We start from the raw sequence: 20,997 nt of genomic DNA, 5'->3' as shown, positions 1-20,997 counted from the left end.
CAAAGGGGCTGTAGGAGAGACAGACGGAGCTGGACTTACAGCAGAACCAAGTCATGATAGCCTGTTTCTATTTTGTTTTCAGCATTTTTCCGCCAGTTCTGGCCACCTCCTTTCCTCTGGAACATGCTGATTTCAGCAAGTCCAGCTCTGTCAGCTCTGCCCCCCGAGTCTATTGGTTTCTGATCATCTGATAATGCTTTGCCTGCACTCAGGACCTGTCTTTGTCCCTCCTCTTAACATACTTGCAGCTAAAACTAAATATTGCTGCTTGGGGACCTCCTTCTAGCCTTAAATTTCAGCTCATCACCTTCACCTGCCTTGGTCATGGCTCTGCTATTCTCCTTGATCCTTGGTGAGTATCTCTGCACCTGTTGGTTTAGGCTTCAGAGTTTTCTGGCACTTTGATTAGGAGAACTTTCTCCCCGCCAACCTGGAACAGATTTAGATGTTTTTCAAGGATGAGCTTCTTCCTCCTTTTTACATTTGGTAACTATTCTAATCCTTAAAAAGCCGCTTAATCCATACACATTTGTAATTCACTTTAACAGATTTTTTTCTATTTTCTTATATTTGTAATGACAGAGTCATGATAGTTTATCCCATTTCTCTTTTTACATAAGTGTTCCTAAATGTACTATTAGTAAGAAGACAAATGAATGGGCACCGGGCAGCAGCAAGTAGAGCCAGGAAAGGAAGTAGAACTGCAAGACAATCACCTTTCATTGATCATATTGTCTGGTTTCCTCTGAAAAGTGTTTCATATAATGTTTTTCTAGTTTTCTTCAGTTTCTCATTGCTTAGAGTAATCTAGAGATTAACCTAGTTAATCTGGTGATTGTGGAGCCAAGGAGACCTGGATTTCAATCCTGCCGTTTTGATTTCTTAGCGGTGTGAATTCGTAGGTTACCATACCTCTCTGAAATTTTGCTCTCTCATCTATGAAGTGAGGATAATATTATGTTCCTCAGAGGTTTTTAGGAGTATTTTTTTTTATAAGATAACTAATATAAAGCATCTAACAATGCCTGGTAAATCCCTATGCTAATCAATCACATCCACTTTTATGTCTTGATGATCTAGTACATCACCAAAGCCCACACAATCCTCTCAACTGGACACTTTTGTGTTCAATGTAAGGTACTGACCACATCTTAAACATCCATGCATCCCCCACATCACTCAACGGCTAGTCCTGCCCCTCATGGATATACTACTGGGTCTTCCAGGCTCATGTGCACTTCCACCTGCTTCATGAAGCCTTTCTGGCCTGTGCCTTCTGCAGTTACCCACCCTACTGCAGAGCTTCCAAGTCACTTACTGGCTATATCACGTTTGCACCTGCATATCAGGCTTGCCATGCTCACTTTCCTTCACATGTACACATGTTGGGTTGGGGTTATGCAATGATTCCCATATGTATAATATAACCTTGAGTTTTGGATAGTTGCAGAAAAGGCCTCATTGAGCCTGAGAGTGGCCACATTCTGAAGATTAAGGGAATGAGGGTAATGAGAGGTTATTTGGAAACCAAGAAAAGAAAATATTCCAGGATAAACCACTGAACTACTTGAATCTGCCTGAAAAACTGTAGGCTGGAGGTCCAAAGATATTTGCACCTTCTGAAAAATCCTATAAGATGGGGGTGGTGGGTGTTTTGCAGTTGAAAATGCATAGGCCTCAGGGACTCCTGGAGGTTACAGGGCCCAGGACTCTCTACAGCATTAGGAGGGACCTTATGGAGAAAGGAGTCCAAATATACAGAGATCCTGCAGGAAGAAACCCCCATGTTTTAAAGACAGGCTGGTGCTGGAATCTGGAGGTTTGGAACTACATATAGAGCTACTTCCTGAGCTATTCATCTAAATCAGCTAAAACAGCCTGCAAGCTGATAATGAGGTTTGTATTTTTAAATGGTAGGAAAAAAGCAAAAGAGAAATACTATTTTATGACACATGAAAATGACAAAAAATTTAAATTTCAGTGTCTAATAAAGGTTTAATGGAACATAGCCGTCCTCACTTGCATACATATATGTGGCTGTTCTCAGGCTACAATGGCAGAGCTGAGTGGTTGCAACAGACACTGTATGGCCCACAAAACTGAAAATATTACTGTCTGGCCTCTTACAGTAAGAGTTTGCTTACCTGGTCTAAATGCTGTGCCGATGAACACAGGCATATCCTGCCCCTTTGCCCTAATTTCTGCTCTGCCCACCATGGCATCTTTACCTCCACCGGCCAGTGCATCTTCCCAGTGGCCTCCAGCACTCTTTCCTGTTGAGCCAAGAGGCTGTATCACCACACTTTTCTTCAGGCAGTAACAACCAATCAATCTAATTGACTAGAATAGAAAACCAATCTATCCACCATCACGTGTGAAGAAAGCAGGCTGAACCAGTTAGCTGTGGTGGAATTGGTCTCTGTGATTCCTAGCCAGTGTCCCTGTGTCCTTGGAGGATGGTCATCCCAGAAGAAGAAGGTCCCAACAGGACTGACATTGGAGGCTCTGCATCTACCACTCTTGTCTCACACAGTTCTGTGAAGGCCTTCTAGAGTTGTGTTCTTTGAATAAAGCCTTGGAAATTGACCTCACTCATTTCCTTCTTTCTTCCCCAGCCATTTGCACCAGACCTGGATTCCTAGGTAAGATTTTTGGGGGTTTCTGAGAGGGAGGCCTCAAGCTTAGGAGAGGGAAAATTTTGAAGCTTCTTGAGCCACAGAGAAAGACTTGTTCAAAACAGGCCCAGCAGACTTCCTTTCTGGCTTCCTACCTCACCCACTCAGTCTTGTGTGGGCAGATTTCCACCTCCAGAATTTAGAAGGGTTTGGGTGGTTTATCCTGGCAGGGGGTACCTCTCCCCACTTGGTTTCTGTGGCCACTTGGCCAGCATCCAAGTAAGAGCTGGGTTCATTTCAGGTCTAGAATGCACTTCACTGCCTTATGGGCATACCTGAAAAATGAACTTCCTTTTGGTTTCTTCCTGTTGGTTTCCAGCATATCCAGGTCCCCCTGCCAGGCTTAATGGTGTCTTTGTTTGAATTAGAAATGCATTGTTGCTTGCAGCACATAGCTTGACCAGCAGAGCATAGGCTGGATTTCCTGCTCGGGGAGTCTTTGGGTAATGCACAAATGATAAACCCAAGGAAAGGGTGCACAGAGAGAATGAGTTTATAGAAGAGGGAGGCTATGGGTTGTGGATTATCAGTTTCTTGTATATTATCCTTCCAGTCTCCCCTTCTGCTTGATCATAGAGACTTTACCAGAGAGGGGCAGCCAGAAACATTGCTATTGGTGTGGAGAATCCTATACCCTGATAGATGCAACCTTCCTGGGTTCTCATCTTGACATTCAGATTAGCCCTTCTGTTTCCTCAAGCTGAATTTCTTGTTTTTAAAAAAGTAATTTTTTTTTATTTATTTCTTCTTTCCCTGAATTTCTTGTTTACTTATTTTTTGTTTTTTATTTTTTATTTATTTCTTCTTTCCCATGGCTATTTTAGTCTTCTACCCCATAGAAAATGAAAATTGATTAAAAATTGAGAATTTTGCAATCAGCAAGGAAAGAAAATATCCTGTTAATCCTGATAGCTAGTATTTCTTGGAGTATGCAATAATGCCAATCCAAACTCTAATGTCAGATACAATGACCCCCAAATTATTTACGGTTCATGCTACTCATGAAGATAAAAACGTTTCTGGATAACTGCTCTTACATTATATTTTTACCCAGATCTATAAGCCTTAAACTCAGTTGTGTGAAAATGAAAACTTTTCTTAGTTTTTTACGGTTTATATAAAAGCCCTATTTTTTATGGTTAACTTTTAATTGCTATCTCTAGCCTCCATTTTTATATTTTTTCCCAAAAAAATTTAAGCAAAGGAAAGAAACTAAAAAACAAATGCATGAAATAAACATAAGCTTCCTGATGCAGTTTAAAATTAGCCAGATTAGGCCAGGCGTGGTGGCTCACACCTGTAATCCCAGCACTTTGGGAGGCGAAGGCGGGCAGGTCACGAGGTCAGGAGATTGAGACCATCCTGGCTAACACAGTGAAATCCCGTCTCTACTAAAAATACAAAAAAATTAGCCAGGTGTGGTGGCTGGCGCCTGTAATCCCAGCTACTTGGGAGGCTGAGGCAGGAGAATGGTGTGAACCCAGGAGGCGAAGCTTGCAGTGAGCCGAAATCGTGCCACTGCACTCCAGCCTGGGCGACAGAGTGAGACTCTGTCTCAAAAAAAAAAAAAAAAAAAAAATAGCTAGATTAGAGTTTTCTCACTGAACTACTTCTCTTGGACTGATTCTAAACTCTGGGGACTTTGTGTGCAGTTGTGACAAGTTAGTCTGTGGGAAATCTGGTCCTCAGCAGTCACGTTCTATCCATGCATGCAACCTGGGTCATCCCATGTGGCCCATGTTGGCCCCTATTAAGCTGTTCATCTTCCAATAGGCCATAGACTTCCAGTCCAAACGTGGCCTCTCCTGGTGCACAAGAACTCTCTCAGCTAACCGTCTCTCTCCATGTAAGCATGGCAAATTCAGCCTCTGCTATATTGCTCTGAGGCTGCAGGAGGCTTGGTGGGATTGCCAAGCTTAATATAAGCTTCTTGAGGGCAGAACTCATCACTGTTCTCTGAGTTCACTAACTAACAAACAAACAAAACAGAAATGTAGTACGCACCTAACAAATGTTTGCTGTCTAATAGGCTCTTCCCTGGTCTCCCTACACAGCCATCTCCACTCTCCTTGCATGTCTTGGTGGAAGGAAGAAAATTTCTGTTAGTCTTTTCTTTTTTTCTCTTTTTTTGAGATGGAGTCTTGCTCTGTTGCCCAGGCTGGAGTGCAGTGGCATGATCTCGGCTCACTACAACCTCCAAATCCTGAGTTTGAGCGATTTCTGGCTAATATTTGTATTCATTTATTTATTTTCTTTAGTAGAGACAGGTTTTCACCATGTGGTCCAGGCTGGTCTTAAACTCTTGACCTCAAGAAATTCACTTGCCTCAGCCTCCCAAAGTGCTAAGATTACAGGCATGAGCCATCACACCCCACCTCTGTTAGCTTTTGTACTTCCAGAGTTCTAGTCATGAAACTGAATCAAGTCCTAGATTTCTCACAACTTATCTGGAGACTCCATGAATCCTCTCTTATGCTTCTAGTCCCTGGAATTAGACCAAACTCTTGGGGCTCTGAGACTCTGACTCTTCCCTTTCCCTATGCTCTGTATTTCTCCTGAGATGGGCGCTTGAACAAGGAACAATTTCATAGGAAGCAGCAAGTATGGGCATGGATTGGCCACTGAGAGTGAGAGATAGTTAGGCTGTTCAGCCCGAATTGTACACACTCTGCCTCAATCTGACTTCCATGGAGAGAGACAGAGTCATGAAGAGGAAAAACGCAACAGATATTCTCTTTACACCTCTGTTCTGGCCTGGAGCTTCCACTTTTGGACAATGTAGCCATAGGACCATAACTTTCATGAGGATGATTTTCCTCATCTGTGAAATAATGGGGTGGACTTTATGATCTCTTTAGGGCCTTCTGATTCTGACCGCCAGAGAATCTAAAACTCTGCTGGATCTTCAACCAACCTCTTTTCCTTAATCTTCAATCTGAAAATGCCAGCAGTCATGTCCAGGTATCTTGAAGTAGAGTTTCTTGACAGGGTACCATTAAGGCTGTAGCAGAACCAGAACTCAGACACGGAGTTCTGAAGCTCCTCTTCCTTCCCTTTTCTTCTGATCCCTTATTTCTAGTTCCCCAACACTCTGCACCATTTGAATGGTGGAAGAGTCCCAGATTGACTGAGTACATGCCTAAGGACCCTCTGAGCTCCTCTCAGGCCTCTAGCTAACAACCCGTCTCTTTGCAGCGTCTCCATCTGGAGTGCGGCTGGTGGGGGGCCTCCACCGCTGTGAAGGGCGGGTGGAGGTGGAACAGAAAGGCCAGTGGGGCACCGTGTGTGATGACGGCTGGGACATTAAGGACGTGGCTGTGTTGTGCCGGGAGCTGGGCTGTGGAGCTGCCAGCGGAACCCCTAGTGGTATTTTGTATGAGCCACCAGCAGAAAAAGAGCAAAAGGTCCTCATCCAATCAGTCAGTTGCACAGGAACAGAAGATACATTGGCTCAGTGTGAGCAAGAAGAAGTTTATGATTGTTCACATGATGAAGATGCTGGGGCATCGTGTGAGAGTGAGTATGGCAGGGGTCCCGGACCACTTGCCAGCTGCCATACCCCTCACGGCCACTCTTGTTGGTCTTCATTCCCTACCATAGACGTTCACACAATGGCTAATTGGCCCCTCACCCCCCACATCTCATACTTTCCCAACTGTCAGTGCTGGAGATAAACAATATCCTCACCTAGAACTGCAATTCCTACTTGGTTGAGCAAATGCTTTCATCTTAGTTTCAATCTATATGAGAACTTGTTTCTCTTATTTACACACATGCCAACATGCACACCACTAAACATTTGTTGAATAGAGTATACTGTATCTGGAGCTGGGCATGGAGTTATGGGGGAAGAAATGAGCTCACAAAGTATAATGTATGCTTTTTAAAAAATAGTTTCAGTTTTCCAGGAGTTTATCTTCTAATCAGGTAGAAAGGAGATACTCATAGGAAACTAACACAATCTAATAGACAGGTGGATAGATGATAGAAAGATACATAGACAAACGGATCTGTGCTCCTTTACTTCCCCCCACATACTTGCTTTATATGTATGAGTAGTCTCTTCTCTTTTGTTCATTAGACAGCGATGTGATTGAGGAGCTAGTCCATGGCTCCTCTTTGTCTGCCCACAGAATTTGTTTCTAGGGAAACAGTCACTTTTTGCCTTGACATTGAAGACTCAGTCCTATTTTTTAGAAAGATTGAGGGTTGGGAGCACTAATCTGAGATATTTAGTTCATAACGCCAACAATGAACCAAAAAGCATTTGGTGTTGGATATATCTTGTATGTTATTGTATTTATTTTTAAAAGTCTATACAAGATCTCTTGTGAGGATCAAATGACAAGTTGAACATGAAAACAATTTGAAAAATTAAAATGCTACAGAAATGATAATGATTCAGCTTTGAATTTGGAAGTTACATTTTCTTCATTGATTCCCTCATTCATTCTTTCAGCAGGCATCTATGAGGCAGTGTTAAGCACTTTAGCATGCCTTGTACTGAACACCAAGAACTGTGAGATGTGTCCATTGGGCCGCCTTTACTGAGAAGACCATGTTCTGGCAGAGAACAGACACGCTCTCTTTCTTTCCCCTCAGACCCAGAGAGCTCTTTCTCCCCAGTCCCAGAGGGTGTCAGGCTGGCTGACGGCCCTGGGCATTGCAAGGGACGCGTGGAAGTGAAGCACCAGAACCAGTGGTATACCGTGTGCCAGACAGGCTGGAGCCTCCGGGCCGCAAAGGTGGTGTGCCGGCAGCTGGGATGTGGGAGGGCTGTACTGACTCAAAAACGCTGCAACAAGCATGCCTATGGCCGAAAACCCATCTGGCTGAGCCAGATGTCATGCTCAGGACGAGAAGCAACCCTTCAGGATTGCCCTTCTGGGCCTTGGGGGAAGAACACCTGCAACCATGATGAAGACACGTGGGTCGAATGTGAAGGTAATGCCTGTGCGTCCAAAGACTAGGTTTATTCATGGATTTAATTATGTGGAATCTCATTCAAACAGTATTTACAAAGAGCTACTAACGCACCAAAGGACCATTGCAAACTTATTTAACTGGGCAGATAATTAATTCCTTTGTTTTTCAAATGGAGATAATAATACCCAACTTTGTATCTGAAAATGCTTTTAATATTAAGCACTATATTAACATGAACTCTCATTAGTTTGAATTCTATATTGTAGGAACAAGGTACATCTTTTTATGTATCTGTTAAGTTCTTCAATTTTTAAAACTTCTTAGAATGTCATTTATAAATATTAGATTTATAAAATAGACGGGGAAGTGAAAATATCTTTGTGAGAGAAGTCGACCTGGACAACAGAGGTTAGAACATGATGGAGAGCTACAGAAGGAGCTCTAATCACAGAAATACATGTGGAGAGTTTCAAATGTGCTGATGGGGCTTGGTAAGCATGTAGATGATCTTCTTGGCCAGATGCAGTGGCTCATGCCTATAATACCAGCACTATGGGAAGCCGAGGTGGGAGGAGCACTTGAGCCCAAGAGTTTGAGACTAGCCTGAGCAACATATGGAAAACCCTGTCTCTTAAAAAAAAAAAAAAAAAAAAAAGCTGAGCTTTGTGGCATGCACCTGTAGTCCCAGCTACTCGGGAGGCTGAGGTGGGAGGATCACTAGGGCCCTCGAGGTTGAGGCTGCAATGAGTGGTGATCACACCACTACACTCCAGCCTGGGCAACAGAGTGAGACGATGTCTCAAAACAAACATACAAAAAATACAAAATGAAAAAATTTTAAAAATAAATGATCTTATTTTTTCTCCTTTCCCTTCCTGTCTCCAACCCCTGACTTCCTCCCCCATCCTGCAGATCCCTTTGACTTGAGACTAGTAGGAGGAGACAACCTCTGCTCTGGGCGACTGGAGGTGCTGCACAAGGGCGTATGGGGCTCTGTCTGTGATGACAACTGGGGAGAAAAGGAGGACCAGGTGGTATGCAAGCAACTGGGCTGTGGGAAGTCCCTCTCTCCCTCCTTCAGAGACCGGAAATGCTATGGCCCTGGGGTTGGCCGCATCTGGCTGGATAATGTTCGTTGCTCAGGGGAGGAGCAGTCCCTGGAGCAGTGCCAGCACAGATTTTGGGGGTTTCACGACTGCACCCACCAGGAAGATGTGGCTGTCATCTGCTCAGGTGAGTCCTACAGATGGAGTTCATAAGGGCTGGCAAGGAGGATGATAAAGGAAGAGGAAATGATGGGGGTGTACTCTGGGGAAAAGGGTATTTTCACAAGCGCCATGAAGCTGCTCATAGTCATCACCTGCTCTGTACTTCCAGGGATATGGCTGGAAGTCCAGGCCCTGTGGTAGGTTTTATTCCTGGGGCTGGTGGGTAGAGGTAGGGCTGACACTATATACGTATTGATCGTGAGAACATACAGGTATTGAATGTAAAAACAAGAGGCGTTCTGAAAATTATTTCACCAACATTTTTATATTAAACATAGTAAACATAAAGTGAGAGTCGGAGAAAATAAGCAACCTTCAAAAGCATTAAAATTGCTTTCAAATCATATAGCAGAACCATAATAAACCATCTTTACTCTCAACCCAAGGTTATTCTCTTGGATGACCCTAACCTTGAAACTCTAAGTTAAACTATCAAAGAGGGTTCTACCTCATTCCATTTGTCATCACTCCTAGATTTTAAACTAGTCTGGGAGAGTGGGACTACAGTAGGGAGCTTTTTGAGAATGCCCATAAGAGAGTTATCAGAGAGACCACAATACCAGCCCTGAACTGTAGAACTCTTCAGAGGATTGAAGGAAGAAGCCCTTTCCCAATTTGGGTTAGAAAATGCAAGTGCAGCCGCTGCGTGGCTGACTCAAAAAAGCCACCCGTCTGAAGCCCCATTGTGTAATCAATGTGGGGCTACTTGGTTAAACCACTAACTCTGGAACTAGATAAGAACTGATAGTTGACCAAGGTATGTGGGAAGCAGTTAGTGCCCAGAGAAGAATAAATACAGCTGCAGGAGGCTAGGGTTTGAGCCAGGCTGCTGCTACTTTGAAGCTGTGTAATGTTAGTCACTTAACTCCTCAGAACCTAAGTGTTTCCATGGGTAGAAATAGAAAGACACTTGTCCGGTTTACCTCAAAGACTTTGTGATTGTGTGAGGATAAGATATGTTGATAGATGTCAGTACTGTTTGTGACTCACATGGAGCTAGTTGAGTAAGTCCCTGGGATACTGCACAAGGTTCTGGCCTGGCTCACATCAGTGTGGGATCTGTACATGGCTTAGCTCTTTTTCCTATGTTGAGCCCCAGTCTTCTCCCTTAGCTAATGTGAGTTTCAACTGAATAATTCCTTCCTGGACTATACCCATCCTTACTGCATTTTCCTCTTCTCTTTATAGGATAGTATCCTGGTGTTGCTTGACCTGGCCCCCCTGGCCCCGCCTGCCCTCTGCTTGTTCTCCTGAGCCCTGATTATCCTCATACTCATTCTGGGGCTCAGGCTTGAGCCACTACTCCCTCATCCCCTCAGGAGTCTGAACACTGGGCTTATGCCTTACTCTCAGGGACAAGCAGCCCCCATTGCTGCCTGTAGATGTGAGCTGTTGAGTTCCCTCTTGCTGGGGAAGATGAGCTTCCATGTATCCTGTGCTCAACCCTGACCCTTTGACACTGGTTCTGGCCTTTCCTGCCTTTTCTCAAGCTGCCTGGAATCCTCAAACCTGTCACTTTGGTCAGATGTGCAGACCATTACTAAGGTCTATGTCTGCAAACATTACTAATCTAGGTCCTATTACTAATCTATGTCTGCAAACATTAAAGGAATGAAACAATGAAAGGAACATTTGAAAGAAAATGTGGGTAGACAATTTCTTGCAACTTGGGGGAAAGTTTAGAATTCTTTTGATTGGACTACTTTTTTTTTTTTTCCTCAAGCTTCAGGTGACCACAATAGCAACACCTCCCTATTCTGTTATTTCTTAGTGTAGGTAGACAATTCTTTCAGGAGCAGAGCAGCGTCCTATAATCCTAGACCTTTTCATGACGTGTAAAAAATGATGTTTCATCCTCTGATTGCCCCAATAAAAATCTTTGTTGTCCATCCCTATACAACCTGCCAACATGGTTGACATTTAATGAGAGGAATGTCAAAAATACATTTTACTTTATTCAAAGAAAAATATATTGGTTACTGGGAAAAGGTCAAGAAAGAGGCAGAAAGAGATCAGGGAGGGCTAAAGTTGTGTCTTATGCCAAGCGAAAGTGAAAAATATCATTTTCACTTTATCAACTGAGACTTTGGGGCCTGTAAGCTTGAGGCAAGACAGAAATAAGAGAATCAAGACTTGATTGTAAAAATTGACAACTTTAGATTCTGAGGCTAGGCTGAGTACTTATTATACGGCTACATTTACACATTTACACTTATCTAATAAATCAGATTTCACAGTCTCAACAATTGCCTCTCTGTGTGATATGCTCTTTCTGCCCACAGAGAAGCAGCTGTGTCAGATTCTCTATGGCAGTTTCTTAAACAGGGTTAGGTAGAAGAGAACCTTCCAGTTACAACCATATGTGTAAAAAGCTGTCCTCTGGGTGTGCAACTGTCTCCCAGTCTATTTCTGCTCCAACCTGTGTACCCAAAGACAGTTCTGCTGCTCCTGGACTTCAGGCTAACACACTTCTGATAGGCCAACTCTAATGCCATGCCTTTCTAATCTGACATTTTTTTGCTTTCCTTCTAACCAGTGTGTTTATGTTTCTAACCCAGAACCACACTGGTCTCTGGCTCCTTACTCAATTAATTCTGTCAAAACAGTTCAATCATCAGGGAAAGACAGAGAGTGGGAGGAGGGGTGCAGTGGGACAGGAGGAGAGTGGGAGGGAGAGAGCCCACCACTCGGCTGGGAGTCCGGAGGCAAAACTGTGATTCCTTAAGTCACTGCCTGTCCTAGAGGATTCATTCTTAAAGCACTAGGTTTTAATGAAGGATGAAAAAACACTGAAGAGAGAATGAATTTCTGACATTGCAAAGCTCAAATGATGGAATAACGGGGTCCTCTGAAAAGAGTCCCTAAGGAAATGCATGGAACTGATACTATTTGCTGACAAACTTGTCCATTCATTAGGTTTAGGGCATCCTTGTCATGTTTACCCTGCATTATTCAGATATGAAATGTGAGACAAATTGCCTACAGAAAGAGCTAGACTCTTGAATACTGGCTATGGGATCCCATGACTGCTAATGACACTGGAGTGTGTTTCTGCATCCTAACCCGCAGTTCCATTGTAGCTCAATTTTTTAATAAATATTTAAAAGGTAGCAGGGGAAGATAGGTAGAGAAACCTAGCTTCAGAGAAGGAAAGAAAATGCTTTACCACATGGATCAGAGAACCGGAGGAAGCCCTTCCACAGAGATATATGAGTAAGAATGAAACAGATGCTCAGAGGGGAACATAGATGAGACACACAGAAACCCCAGAAAGTATTTTTGGTTTCTCATCCTTGCCTCTTCCTGGGGTCAAATGGCATTCCTGGCCTTGGGTTCTGTGACAAACTGCTGTATGGTACATAATAATTTTTTTGAAGTTTTTGATTGACTTATGTTGGTTTTCGTACTTCCAACCAAAAGAACCCCAGATAATATATTTATTTTAAATTCATAAAATGATAATTCACTAATTTTTTATAAGGCTGAGTAGCTAAACCCAGTTATTACTAATGAATAGACTCTCATTGCATTTATAACATCATGTTTATGGATCTGAAAAGATAAGGACCAGAGCCTATAAACAGAGGCCTATTTCTATTTCTATTACTCCAAGATATTACTTTTGAGTGGCCCTGGTTGTATAAATGCCCAATAATTCTTTTACAAGGGTGACATTTAAAGCTCATGGCCTCCACATTAAAACACAGAACAATTAAAGGTCTAGTGAAGGTGGGTTATAGAAGATAGGCAAATCAGAACTGACAGCTATTCATGCTTCCTCTTTCCTCTGTTGGAAAAGCTCTCTTCAACTTTGTTACCTGATGAACTTTCAATTATTCTCAATGTCTCATTTCTCTCTTAAAATGTAATTTAAATCAGGTTATAACCCTGCCAAAGGGTCTTTGAGAGCTTCTCATTGCACATGAGTTAAATGTAAACTTCTTACTTAGACTTAAATGCCTGTGCATGATCTGGTCCCTGCCTACTCCTCCAACCTCATCTCATGCTACTCTTGTCCTCTAACAACCCATTGCCGTCACATGGGCTTTCTCTCCTTTCCTCAAACACATCAAATTTACTAAACTGTGGTAAGTCTTCCAGAGGAGAAGGTTTTTGGGAGAGGAGCTATCAGAAGCTCTGTTTAGACATGTTAATTCTGATGCCTATTAGATCTCCATGTGGAGATAATAAGTAAAAGTTTAGAGGAGTGGCCTGGGCTTGGATACATGATCTGGGAAACCATTACACATATATGGTATTCAAAGCCATTAGACTACAGGACTTCAGTCCCAAGAAAATGAGTGAGACAGAAAAGGAGAGGAGATCCAAGAACAGAGCCTCAGAGAACCAACATTTAATCCAACATTTAGCTTACATTCCCTTGAAACAAGGACTTAGGTGCAGATTTTTTATTAGGTGATAATTTCAGGAAACACTTGTGAGAGACTGAGGAAGGTTAGTAGGAGAGAAAGAAAACCCAACAAAGTGAGCATTAATGAGTTGGTTACTGCTGGGGGCAACTGAGTCTCCATCTCTCTGGGGGTCTTCTGAGGCACTGTGTAAAAATTATTTCAAAATATTCTCACCAAGGAATGAGTAAGCTGAAGTATTTATCTACCGAATCTCATATGCCATTGATTGAGAGTTGCTCCTGTTGGTGTTAAACCTTGTGTATGGGCTGAGTGAACTCCTGAGTACCAGTGAAAATTACAGGTAGAAAAGCTAAGACATGCGGGCACTTGAGGGGACATAGGACCTGTCCATCACAGGTGTAGAAGACAGTGAAGTAGAAGTAAGCATGAGACTGATATCTTTAAAACCAAATGAAGAAAGTGTTTCAAGAAGGAGGTATGTATTGACTGTGTTGATGGACCAAGTAAGATGAATTGACTACTGGGTTTGACACCATGGCTTCTACATTTTCTAGATGCACCCTAGAGGTTCTCCCTTCTGAGGTCCCACTGTCCTCCTAGGGCATTGCAAGGATATGAGACTCAAGTTGTTGCTCCACATAGAACCCAGAACCACTCAATTCCCTGGTCTTGTGGAATTTATCACTCCTTCTCCTCCACTTACTCCTCATTTCTTTCCTTCCTCCATCAAAGGTTAATTTGAGTTATACTGTGAAATGGTTGAGGCAGAACCCAAATATAAACCTTCTTCTGGGTTCTGGAAGAAAATGGAACATGAGGAAGAGCTAATAAAATTGCAATGATAATAAACTAGAAGTGATAATGGCACTTTTAACTACTCTACTATGGGAATTTGCAACTAAGTTATGATTGCCTCTGGACCCCACCTTATGTTGCCTATCCAGATTCCTCTGGTTGAGCTCTGTCTTAGTTATTTTTCTCCTCCTTAACACTTTCCCTGAAACTACCTGTGATGGTTAATTCTATATGTTAATTTCACTGAGTCATGGGGCATCCATATATTTGGTTAAACCTTATTTCTATGTGTGTCTGTGAAGATGTTTCCAGATGAGTTAGCATTTGTATCAGTAGATTGAGTAAAGCATGTTGCATTTCCCAGTGTAGGTGGGCATCATCTAATCTGTTGAGTGCCTGAATAGAAGAAAAACACAGAAGAAGGGAGCATTTACTGTCTACATGACTGCATGGGATGAACACTGATCTTCTTCTGCCCTTGGACTGGGACTTATACTTGGTGCCCCTGATTCTCAGGCCTTCAGAGTTGGATCAGAACTTACAACATCAGGTCTAGTTCTCAGGCCATCAGACATAGTTTGGAACTACATCACCACCTTTCCTATGTCTCCACATTGCACACAGCAGATTCCCAGCCTCCATAATTGTGTGTATCAACTACTTAAATACATTATAACACACACACACACACACACACACACACACACACACACACACACATACACCATTTGTCCTGTTTCTCTGAAGAACTCTGACAAAATACAGATTTTGGTACTGAAAGAGATTCTAGAGGAACGGAATTTTAAGGATAAATTTTCTGAATTGGTTATGGGGTTTCTGAAATTGGCTCTATAATCTAATTAGATATAAAATTCTGGTAACTTTATTTACAATAATAAAGATAGCACTATGTGTTCATGGCTTGAACTGGTAATAAAGATACAAAAATATCCACATTAGATATTCCTAATCAACCACTCATAAGAAGCAAGAAGCTGAGTGACTATGTTTATGATACTTTCAAACATTTTTGGAAAACTAGCAAATACAATGAGGTTGGCTGGTTACTCTTAATACTACTGGACAAAGTGGTGAAAGAAAAAGATGAGCTCAGGGATTTGAAATCACAGCTCAATTACCACATGAATCACCTGAAAACTTTTATATGTGCTCTGAAGGGAGACCCTTATCTCCTGTAGCTACAGAGTTGAGATTGCTGAAAATCAAATGCTGGATCTCAATTGTGCAACTGGCTAAACTACAAAGCAATTTAACCCCCCAGAACTTCAGCGTATCTACCATTAAAGGGCAGGCATTGATTGGGAAATGATGAGATCCTGTAAGTTAGGATGGGGATGTGTGAGAAAACTCTCAGGCAGCCTAACGACACCTGGCAGACTGGCATCCACACCCCAGAGGTATTGGCCTCTCTATTCCATCTGAGGGACTAAAGTTGCATGGCCTGAGGAAACTGTAAGGTCTCCCCAGAGTCATGAAAGACAACGCCAATTCTCCTCAGGACCCACTCCTACCACTTTTCTTTGATTCTAGATCTATAACTATACTCACATTGCAACAAGCCTCTAAAGGTGAGATATAAATTGTGACCCATGAGGAGGTCACACTACACTCCAAAAGAACTGCTTGAGTTTTTCTAATTCAAACAGACAGAAATCTAGGGAACACATGTGGGAATGAATACTAAAGGTATAAGTTAATGATGAAAAGAACTTAAGTTTGATTAGGCAGAATTTATTGATATGGGCTTGCAAAGTATATATTCTTTCTTTAATATTGCAGCTCATGAAGGTGAAAAGGGCTCTTGCCATTTGTTTGGTTAGTAGGACAAAACATGGAACAAAAGGTGGCCCACAAAGAGTGAGGTGGCACACACTGCCTTGGTTTAATGTAGAAGAAGAGATTGAACAACTTAGGGAAAGTGGACTGTTAAAGAGGTTTTATCGTTTAAGACCTACTCACACACACACTGGAATAGTTCAGAAGACACACATTTTATCATTAGCTGTGAGAAATAAATTTCTGAGGGGAGCCCTGGCATCTGAAAAACTCTTTCATCGCTCTTCTCTGTAGGCTGGCCTTACAGTGGAAATTGCAGTCACTGAATTGGGAAATTAAAATGCAATAGGAGTAACTGGATCCCAGGATGGCAGGGCCAAGTGATAGCATTCAACTGCCAAAGGCTATGTAGGTGTGGTTACCAAAGTGGACAACAAAGTCAGAGCAATCATCAGAATAATCTGACTTACAGAGACCTATGACACTGACTAGATCATCATGGTCTCTGGAATTGAAGTAGATAGGAAGCCTACTAATTTCTTACTTGATCTATATAAACAGAAACATTTTAGGTCAAGCAAATAACAGTCTAACCTAAATCATAGAAACAGAGAGTCACAGTCCTCAATCAATTTCTAGATTTGAGCCAATTTACAAAGCTAGAACCTCCTGAATGAAGGAAAGGGTAGGTGCCTTTGAGGAAGAAAACTAGTACAATACCAAAAATTTGTTACTAATCTTTCTCCAAAGCCTCTCTAAAGGGATCTATACCTTTTTCCAGGATAATTGTGCACTGGGGAAAATAAAATAATCAGACTTCTTGGGGACGGTTGGATTCCAGCCCTAATTCATTCTGAGTAAAGAAGACCCAAAACATCACTGTGCTCCAGAAGTCAGGGTAGGAGCTTATGAAGTTCAGGTGATCAATGGAATTTTAGCTGAGGTCTGTCTCACATTGGGCCCAATGGGTCCCTGAACCCATCCTGTGGTTATAACCCCAGCTCCGGAATGCATAATTGAAATAGATATACTCAGCAGCTGACAAAGACCCTACATTGTTTCTCTGACCTGTGGAATGAGGGCTACTATGATGGTAAAGTCCAGGTAGAATCCAATAGTACTGCCTCCGCCTAGAAAAATAGTAAGTTAAAAGCAAGACTGCATTCTTGGAAGAATTGCGGAGATTAGTGACACAATTAAGGATGCAGGGGTAGTGATTCCTACAACAATTCTATTTAGCTCACCTATTTGGCCTGTGCAGAAGACAGATGGGTCCTGGAGAATTCCAGTGGATTATCATAAGCTTAACCATGAGGAGACATGAATTGCAGCTGCTGTACCAGATGTGGTTTCATTGCTTAAGCAAATTAACACATCCCCTCATACCTGGTATATAGCTACTGATCTGGAAAATGCCCTTTTCTCCATCTCTGTCAATAAAGCTCACCAGAAACATTTTGCTTTCAGCTGGAAGGCTAGCACTACACTTTCACTGTCCTACCTTAGGAGCATTTCAGTTTTCCAGCCCTATATCATGACGTACTTCACAGAGATTTTGAGTGTCTGTCTCTTCCACAAGATATAACACTGGTCCATTACATTGATGACATTATGCTGATTGAATCTAGTGTGCGAGAAGTAGCAGCTGCTCTAGACTTATTGGTAAGGCATTTTTGTTTCAGAGGATGGGAAATAAATCGGAAAATAATTTAGGGGCCCTGTACCTCAGTGATACTACATGAAGAGGTGGTTAAAATATCCACAATCTCCATTCCTGCTACACTGCCGTCTCTCTCCCAGCCTGCACCTGTGGCTTCATGGGGAGTTCCCTCCAATCAGTTGACAGAGGAGGAGAAGACTCTCTGGCCTGATTTATAGACGGTTCTATGTAATATGCAGTCACCACATGAAAGTGGACGGCTGCAGCACCTTCCTGAGACATTCCTAGAAGACAGTGGTGAAAAAAAATCTTCAGTCAGCAGACCTTAAAGCAGTGCACCTGGTTGTGCACTTTTGCTTGGAAGGAGAGATGACCTGAAGTGCAATTCTATACAGATTCATGGACTGTGGGCAATAGTTTGGCTGGATGGTCAGAGACTTGAAAGAAAGATGACTGGAAAATTGGTGAATAAGGAAATTTGGGGAAGGGGTATGTAGATAGACCTCTTTGAATGAGCAAAATGAATGTGAAGATATTTGGGTTCCATGTAAATGCTCAACAAAGGGTGACCTCAGCAGAGGAGGACTTTAATAATCAAGTGGATAAAATGACCCATTCTGTGGAAGTGGGTCAGCCCACTTCCCCAGCCACCCGTGTTGTGGCCCAGTGGGCTCATGAACAAAGTGGCCATGGTGGAAAGATGGAGTTAATGCAGGGGCTCAGCATCATGAACTTGCACTCTCCAAGGGCAACCTGGCTACAGCTGCCTTGGAGTGCCTAATATGCCAGCAGTGGAGACCACGCTGAGTCCCTAATATGACACTACTTCCCAGAGTAATCAGCCAGCTACCAGGTGGCAGGTTGATTAAAAGGGGCCACTTCCATCATGGAAGCGGTAGTGTTTTGTCCTTACTGGAATAGACACTTACTCTGGATATAGATTTGTCTTTACTACACACAATGTTGTCTCTATTAAAGATAATAATTAAAAAATTAGCCAGGTATGATAGTGCGCTCCTGTAGTCCCAGCCACTCAGAAGGCTAAGGCAGGAGGATTGCTTGAGCTTGGGAGGTTGAGGCTGTAGAAAGACATGATCATACCACTGCACTCCAGCCTGGGTCACAAAGTGAGACCTTATCTCAAAAAAAAAAAAAAAAAAAAAAAGCATTAACCATGCAAGAAAAAAAAGATAAATTGGGCTTCACCAAAATTAGATAATTCTGATCTCTTTTTTGTTTTTGTTTTTTGACAAAAATTGGACAAGCAGCCTTATGAATAAATAGGAAAATAACAGGAAGAGACATTTCAAGGAAGAAAATATACAAAGGGCTAATAAACACATGAGAAATGTTTAGCTTCATTGGCCGCCAAGAAATGCAAATTAAACTCATAAGATATCTCTACACATGCATTGAATTGGCTTTAAAAAAGGAGTTGGAGAGGATATGGAGAAACTGGAATTCAGACTGCTGGTGGGAATGTAAAATAGTAAAAATCAAGTAGGGAAGTAATTTAAGTTTCCTGAAAACATAAGCATATTCTCATTCAATAATTCCACCCTGGAATAGTCACCCAAAATTTTGTACATGAATGTTTATAGCAGCTTTATTCATACTACATGGATGAATCTCAAAAATATTATGCAAAAGGAAAGAACTTAGAAACAAAAGAGTAAATATTATATGTTTCAATTTGTAGGAAATTCTAGAAAAGGCAAATCAAATCTATAGAAAGCAGATGGAGAGTTACCTGGTTCTGGGAGGTTTGGGGTGACTGGGAAGGCACACAAGGAAACCCATTGAGATGATGGAAATGTTCTAGATCATGACAGTGATTGCTTTTACATCAGTGTGTATGTTTGTCAAAAATCATTGAATCATATACTTATGATGGGTTCATTTCAATGTATATTAATTATAACTCGATAAGCTGATTTTTAAGAAAGAGAACTATAAACAAAATATTCAGAGTGGTAATTACTTCTGGAGAGTACACGAGGAGTGGGTTAGAAAAGGCACACTCAAGTAGATGTAATAGTATCATGTTATGTTCAAGTTCTTTTTTTTTTTTTTTTTTTTTTTTTTTTTTTTTGAGACGGAGTCTCGCTCTGTCACCCAGGCTGGAGTGCAGTGGCGCGATCTCGGCTCACTGCAAGCTCCGCCTCCCGGGTTCACGCCATTCTCCTGCCTCAGCCTCCCGCGCAGCTGGGACTACAGGCGCCCGCCACCACGCCCGGCTAATTTTTTGTGTTTTTTAGTAGAGACGGGGTTTCACTGTGTTAGCCAGGATGGTCTCGATCTCCTGACCTCGTGATCCGCCCGCCTTATGTTCAAGTTCTTAAAACAGTCTGGGGATAGGCTCATGGCTTTTCATTTCATCGTAGTATTTCATAATTTATATTCATGTTACTTTTTTGTATGCATGCATGAACTATCACATTATAAAAATAAAAGTGTGAGAGAGCTTAACAAATAAAATGTTATAGCCTTTATATCTGTGGAGGAGGAAACACATTTTAATCTGAACATCTTGTGAAGGCACTGGAGCAGGACACACAGGAAGAGATGTGATGAGAATCAACCTAAGACCCCAACAACAGATGAATCCATAAAGAAAATGTGGTGTATATATACAACGGAATACCATTCAGCCATACAAAATGAAATCCTGTCATTTGTGACAACATGATGAAGCTGGAGGACATCATGTTAAGTGAACCAAGCCAGACACAGAAAGACAAATACCACATGAACTTACTTATATGTGGAATCTGAAAAAAATAAGAAGTTGATATTATGGAAGTATAGCATAGAATAGCATCTATCAGAGACTGAGGAGGGAATGAGGAGGGAAGAGAGGGAAAGATTGGTCAACAGGTACAAGGTGCCAATTCGATAGGAGGAATAAGGTTTGGTGTTTTATTGCACAGTAGGGTAACTATGGTTACTAGTAAGGTATTATATATTACAAAATAGCTAGGAAAGAGGCTTTTGAATGTTCTCACCACATAGAAATGAAAACTGCACGAGACAATGGATATGCCAACCACCCTGATTTGATCATCACTGTACAACATATATATGTATTATATTGCAATGTCAAACTGTGCCCCATAAATATGTACAATTACAATGTGTCAATTAAAACATTAAAAAAACCAACAGATTAAAAGAAAAAGAGAGAGATGAAACAGCAGAGTGTATGCAAAAACAGCTTTACACCCTGGATTTAAAGGGCTCTACATTCTCATTCAGGAGATTTTTTTGCATTGGTCCTGAAACTTTACACTAAACAAGCTTATCCCCACACAGGCTTTCCTAAGCCAATAAATAAAGCTATGGAATACCTATTCGTTTTCAGCACTTTCGCTGTTAGCCTGGTTACCAACATTGCTCCCTTTTCCCTCTGGTTTTGCGTATCACTGAATAGTTTCTTTTCTCAGTCATACTCATTGAGCTGGATACCTGGACTTAGACATCATTGCCTGACAGCATCTTTCCCC

At 41.9% G+C, this 20,997-nt stretch overlaps 1 protein-coding gene across 3 annotated transcripts; it reads left to right on the top strand.

Annotated features, from left to right (window-relative positions):
* Positions 1–217: 217 nt before the first annotated feature.
* On the top strand, positions 218–14,958 carry CD5L (CD5 molecule like). Of its 3 annotated transcripts, none has more exons than XM_017002806.2 (6): positions 218–352; positions 2,616–2,642; positions 5,871–6,191; positions 7,278–7,619; positions 8,514–8,834; positions 14,407–14,958. In XM_017002806.2, exons 1-6 carry the CDS (start codon positions 325–327, stop codon positions 14,427–14,429), a joined length of 1,062 nt encoding a protein of 353 aa, XP_016858295.1. In that variant the 5' UTR covers positions 218–324; the 3' UTR covers positions 14,430–14,958. The 3 variants fall into 3 exon arrangements, with proteins under 3 accessions (XP_016858295.1, NP_001334627.1, NP_005885.1); NM_001347698.2 differs by having other exon boundaries at positions 14,402–14,958; NM_005894.3 differs by lacking the exon at positions 14,407–14,958 and adding an exon at positions 10,058–11,115.
* Positions 14,959–20,997: the final 6,039 nt, after the last annotated feature.

This window comes from Homo sapiens, chromosome 1, assembly GCF_000001405.40.
Source record: "Homo sapiens chromosome 1, GRCh38.p14 Primary Assembly".
NCBI classification, from domain to species: domain Eukaryota; kingdom Metazoa; phylum Chordata; class Mammalia; order Primates; family Hominidae; genus Homo; species Homo sapiens.
The sequence above is the reverse complement of the archived record's forward strand: the minus strand, read 5'-3'. Positions and strand labels throughout refer to the sequence as shown.

Bases quoted from the DNA above. Each gene is read 5' to 3' on its own strand.
- CD5L (XM_017002806.2), top strand. From the start codon at position 325: ATGGCTCTGCTATTCTCCTTGATCCTTG. The intron at 6,192-7,277 runs GTGAGTATGGCA...CTTTCCCCTCAG, and splicing joins TGCTGGGGCATCGTGTGAGA to ACCCAGAGAGCTCTTTCTCC. The intron at 7,620-8,513 runs GTAATGCCTGTG...CCCATCCTGCAG, and splicing joins CACGTGGGTCGAATGTGAAG to ATCCCTTTGACTTGAGACTA.